A 6,528-nucleotide genomic window follows, 5' to 3' on the forward strand; every position below is an offset into this window, starting at 1 on the left:
GCAGGTGATTGCAACGATACACAGTTTCTACACAATTTAACATTCAAGATGCTGAGAAGGCAATTCAAAATCACACACGTGAATAACCAAGAAAATATTCTTTTTTTTTTTTTTTTTTTGAGACAGAGTCTTGTTCTGTCACCCAGGCTAGAGTACAGTGGAGCTGTCTCGGCTCACTGCAAGCTCCGCCTCCCGGGTTCCAGCAATTCTCCTGCCTCAGCCTCCTGAGTAGCTGGGACTACAGGCGCCCGCCAACATGCCCAGCTCATTTTTTGTATTTTTAGTAGAGATGGGGTTTCACTGTGTTAGCCAGGATGGTCTCGATCTCCTGACCTCGTAATCCGCCCGCCTCGACCTCCCAAAGTGCTGGGATTACGGGCTTGAGCCACCGCGCCCAGCCGAAAATATTCTTAAGGGAAAATATAATTAACACATAACAACTCTTAAATGACCCAGATACTGGAATTAACAGACAAAACTTAAAAGCACCTATATAATTAAGCTCTGTGATGTAAAAGGAAGAAAATAATTGAAATGAATTAAAAAATGAGAAATTTCAGGTAAGCAATAGAAACTATTAAAAAAATGAAATTTTAGAAGTAAAATACATACTATTTGAAACAAAAAATTCACTGGTTGAGCACCCCAAAAGTGTCAGTGAAGTTGAAAATAGTTCAATAGACTTTATTCCATTTAAGGAATACAGAGGAAAAAATATTAAAATAAAAAGAACAAGGTTTCCGACACTTGTCAAAAAATTCCAAGGGTTAGACATACATGTAGTTGGTGTCTCAGAAAAAGAGGAAAAAAAAATTAGAGTCAAATATATATATAGTGCAAAAACTTCCCAAATTTGATTAAATATGTAAATTTACAAATTCAAGAATTTCAATGAATACCAAACAGGTTACATTCAAAGAAAATCTTTCCTAGACACATAATCACAATCCAAAGCTAAGAAAGTCTTGAAAGCAGCTAGATAAAAAAGCAACATTGCACTCAGGAGAACAAGATCCATGTGGTAATGGATTTCTCATCAGAAACTATGAACACCAAAAAGCAATACCTTAAAATGCTTAAGGAAAGCGCTGTGACCAAGAATTTGACATCCATTAAATATTTTTCAGGAATGAAGGTAAAATGAAAACTTTTCAGATAAAGCCAACTTAATAGTTATTTGTTGCCCAGCGATGTACAAGAAATTGGAAAGAAAGTACTTTAAGCTGAAGGGAAATGATACCAGAGGGAAAACTGGATCTTCAAGAATGAAGGAAGATCATCACATATGCTAACTATATGAATAAATATAAAAAGAACTTTAAGGTCTTTAAAATATGTATGACTGTTTAAAGCAAACATTGTAGATGACTCTGATGTGGTTTTTAATATCCATAGATGTAATGTGTATAACATTAAAACTAAAAACAAAAAAGCAGTAAAGGGCCTGTGTGATGGAAAGATTTCAAAGTTTTCAATGAAGTAGTATAATATCAACTCTATTCCTTCCAGAAAAATTATTTATATATATATATATATATATATATATATATATAGAGAGAGAGAGAGAGAGAGAGAGAGAGAGACAGTAATATCTAGAGCAACCCCTGAAAAAGTAACAATACAACAAGTAAACCAATTGAAAAATGGAAATGGAATATTAACATTTTAAAATAATCCCCAAAAAGGCAGGAAAGTGGGAGCAAAAAAACAAAAATCAGGGGAAACAAATAAAAAGCAAATAATGAATATGCAGATATGAATGCAGCTGTCAATAATTATATTAAAGGTCAGTGTTCTAAATACCTCAGGAAAGAACAGATATTGAAAGAATAGGTTTTTAAAAATCAAAGCTAACTATAAACCTAAAAGAGATATACTTTGAATATAAATACAGACTGTTGAAAGTATATGGATAAAAAAGATACTATATGCAAATAGCATAAAAAGAATAGAGTGGCTCTATTAATACCTGATAAAATAGATACTCAGATAAAATACTGAGAAAGTATTACTAATAATAGGAGCATATCCTAATGATAATGTCATCCATCAGGAAGACATAAAACTTCCAAATTTGTGTGAACCCAATGAAAGAATCTCAAAATACAGGAATAAAAAAAATTGAATATTGAAAAGTAGGCAATTTCAAAATTATAGTACAATACTTCAATACCTCTTTTTGCAATTTCCAAAACAACCAGATCAAATAAAAAATTTAGAAGAGACATAAATCTGAACAACACTGTCTACCACTCTGATCTACTTAACGTTTATAGAATACAACATCCAACGACTGCATAGTGAACATTTTTTTCAAGTGCATTTTACTATCATGAAGCTAGACTGTATTCTGGGCCAGAAAATAAGTATCAATACATTTTTAAAAATTTAACTATTTTGTGGTAAAAGAACATACTCTGTATTATTTCAATCAAAATAAAAATATTATCAAGTTAGAAATAGTAGAGAACATCAAACTGATACATTAATAACAAAGCAATATCTAGGAAAATCCAAAATATCTGGAAAGAAAAAACACAGTTCTAAATAATTCAAGGATCAATGACAAAAATCACAAAAAATTGGAAAATATTTAGAAATTAATAGTAACATAAACAACATACCAAATTTTGAAATCCAGCTAAAGCACTTATTAGATAAAAATTTGCAGCTTTAAATGCTTATATTAGAAAGGGAAAAAATAAAATGAACTCAAAGTTCTACCTTCAGAAGCTAAACATAAGAAAAATAAAGTAAACCAAAAGTAATTCAAAGAAATAAAATAAGAAAGAGAATAAATCAATTAAAGAAAAAGCAGACAATTGAGAAAATTAGCAAGATAAAATATAGTTCTTTGAAAACATTTTTTTTAATTGAAAACCTCTAGCTACATTGGTTAAGAGAATAGAGAAAACACTAATCACCAACATCTGTTGGGAAATGAAAACTGTTAGGAATGAACTGTTAGGAATGAAAAACTGTTAGAAATGAAAAGGGATGATCATCCCAGATCCTATACACATTACATAGATATAGGAGGATATTAAGAATAACTTTATTCCAACAAATTCAATAATTTAGGTAAAATGGAATTTTTTTTAAAAAATGCAAGTAATTAAAATTGACAAAAGAAAAAAAGAGAAAATCTGAGTTGCCCTGGAAAGCCGGGCACAGTGGCTTATGCCTGTAATCCCAGCACTTTGGGAGGCAGAGGTGGGTGGGTCATGAGGTCAGGAGTTCAAGACCAGCCTGGCCAAGATGGTGAAACACTGTCTCTACTAAAAATACAAAAATTATCTGGGCATGATATGCGCACATGTAGTCCCAGCTACTCGGGAGGCTGAAGCAGAAAATTGCTTGAACCTGGGAGGTGGAGGTTGCAGTGAGCCAAGATCACGCCACTGCACTCCAGCCTGGGCAACAGAGTAAGACTCTGTCTCAAAAAAGCAAAAAACAAACAAACAAAAACCTGTGGAGAACTTCAGGGACAGATGTTTTCAATAGTGTATTATATCAAACATTCAAGAAAAAAAATTACAACTATTTTACAGAAACATTCTTAGAAAACAGAGAATAGTGAACAACTCATTTTAAGAGAACAGCTTGACTCTATGCTAAAACCTGTCAAACATATTACAGAAAAAGCCATTTACTATGTTTTATTTATTTATTTATTTATTTATTTATTTATTTGTTTATTTATTTTTGTAGAGACGGTCTTGCTATGTTGCTCAGGCTGGAGTGCAGTGGTATGATCATAGCTCACTAAAGCTTCAAACTCCGGTACTCATGCAATCCTCCTGCCTCAGCCTCCTGAGTAGTTGGGAATACAGGCACATACCACTACACCTGGCTATTTTTTGTCTTTTGTTTTTTTCACTTTTTGTAGAGATGAGGTCTCACAGTGTTGCCCAGGCTGGTCTCAAACTCCTGGTCTCAAGTGATCTTCCTGCCCCAGCAGGTATGAGCCACTGTGCCCAGCATAACTAACTTTTAAAAACATTATTAAATCAAATCCAAAAACACACTAAAAAGGAAAGTACAATATGAGTAAGTAGAATTTATCCTAAAAATGTAAAACTTTATCATTTAAAAATCAATTTGTATACTTCACCATATTAATGGAATAAAGGAGAAAAATTATATACTCTTCTTAATAGTTGCAGAAAAATATTTATTAAGTTTCAATACTTACATTCATGACTTTTAAAACAGTTAGGAATCTAGGAGTAATAGAGAACAACTTCAATTTGAAGGACATCTATACAAACCTCCAGTTGCCATTATACTGAATAGATATAAACAGATTTCCCTCAGAAAAAATCAATCCCTGCTAAAAATTAGAAATTAGAAAAGTTTTTACAGCAGCACACACAAATTTAAACATCCCCTCCCACCACCACCACACACATACACACTGATAAGATAATGCTCCATGAAGGAAAATCAGCAGACACACAAATAGGTTTAGAGTCTGAAAATCTTAGAATATTTGAACAATAATCTGAAAGAAAATATAGAATTGTGGTTTAAAAAAAGATCAAATGCTGTGAAGAAAGGCAATTTTGAACAAGAAACACTTAGAGTTAAAAATAATCTATCAGAAGATAGAGTAACAGGTTAGACAAAGCTGAAGAGAAAATTAGTGAACTGAAAGATAAATCTGAAAAAATAATCCAAAGAACAGTACAGAGATAAAAAGATTAAAAATATACAATGGAAACTTAAGAAATATGAAGGATAGAATAAGAATATTCAACAGATAACTAACAGTTCAAGAAAAAGAAGGAATGCATAAGTGACAGTATTTGTAGATATAATTTTGATATTTCTCAGAATGGAAATCACAAATCCTTTCTACTTATTTATGACTATACACTGCCTTTTACTCCTATATAATGTATTTGTGCTTTATTTCTTTTTTCTTGGTAATTATTATCCTGAGGTTAGTCTTTTTAATAACCTGTTCAAATAATCACCTTTTGGGTTAATTAGAGAGTAACAATATTTTTAATAAAATAATAGATAATATTTTAGGATTCATGGACCACATAGTCTCTGTTGTATATTTCCCTTTGTTTCCTTAGTTGATACATACATGTATATTGGACACAGAGTGATGCTTTGATACATGTATACAATGTGTAATGATCAAGGGAATTAGCATATACATTACTGAAAACATAATTTATTTGTGCTGGAAAAACTAAAATCCTCACTTCTAATATTTTGCAAATATGCCATAAATTATTGCTATATATATTCATCTGACTATAGAACACTAAGACTTGTTTCTTCTATCTAGCTGTAATTTTGACTCCATTAACCAATCTCTCCCCATCCCTCCCTCCCCCTACCCTTCTTAACCTTTAATACAATTCTACTCTCTACTTTAATGAATTCAACATTTTTTAGCTCTCACATTTGAATTGAGAACATGCAGTATTTATCTTTTCGTGCCTGACTTATTTTACTTAACATAATGTTCTCCAGGCTCATCCATGTTGCTGCAGTGACAAAATTCCATTCTTTTTTCTATGGCTGAATAGTATTCCAATGTGTATACTTACTAAATTTTCATTATTTATCTGTTGATGAAATTTTATGTTGTTTCCATATCTTGACTTTGTGAAAAGTGCTGCAATAAACATGGGGACGCAGATATCTTTTCAACATACTAATATCATTTCCTTTGGATATATGCTTCAGTATATAAGAGTTCCCTTTTCTCCACATCCTCTCCAGCATTTGTTATTTTTCGTCTTTTTAATAATAGCCATTCTGACAGGTGTGAGATGATATCTCACTGTGGTTTTCAATTGATTTTCCTGATGATCAGTGATGGTGAACTATTTTTAAATATTAATATTTGATGGCCACTTATATGTCTTCTTTTGAAATGTGTGTTCAGATACTTTAACCACTTTTTAATCAGATTATTTAGGTATTTTCATTTTTCTGCTGTTGAGTTGAATTACTTATATATTCTGGATATTAGTACCTTGCCAGGTGAACAGTTTACAAGTATTATCTCTCATTCCACATGTTGGCTCTTCACTCTGTTGATTATTTCCTTTGCCATGTAGAAGTGTTTGGTTTGATATAGTCTCGTTTGTCTATTTTTGGTTTTGTTGCCTGTGCTTTTGAAGTCTTACTCATAAAAGATTTGCCAAGAACAATGTCCTGAAGAATGCCCCCAATGTTTTCTTCTAATAGTTTTATAGTTTGGGGCCTCACATGTAAGTCTTTAATCCATGTTGAGTTGTTTTATATGAGGTGAGACACAGAAGCCTAGTTTTATTCTTCCGCATATGGATATGCAATTTTCCCAGCACCATTTATTGAAGACACTGTTCTTTCCTTCATGTATGTCATCGACTCATTTTGTCAAATATTAGTAAATACATGGATTTATTTCTAGGTTCTCTATTCTATTCCTTTGGTCTGTGTCTGTCTTTATGTCAATACCAAGTGTTCTTGTTGTTCTTACTATGGCTTTGAAGTCAGGTAGTGTGATGTCTTCAGATT

This window comes from Homo sapiens, chromosome 6, assembly GCF_000001405.40.
Source record: "Homo sapiens chromosome 6, GRCh38.p14 Primary Assembly".
Classification (NCBI taxonomy): domain Eukaryota; kingdom Metazoa; phylum Chordata; class Mammalia; order Primates; family Hominidae; genus Homo; species Homo sapiens.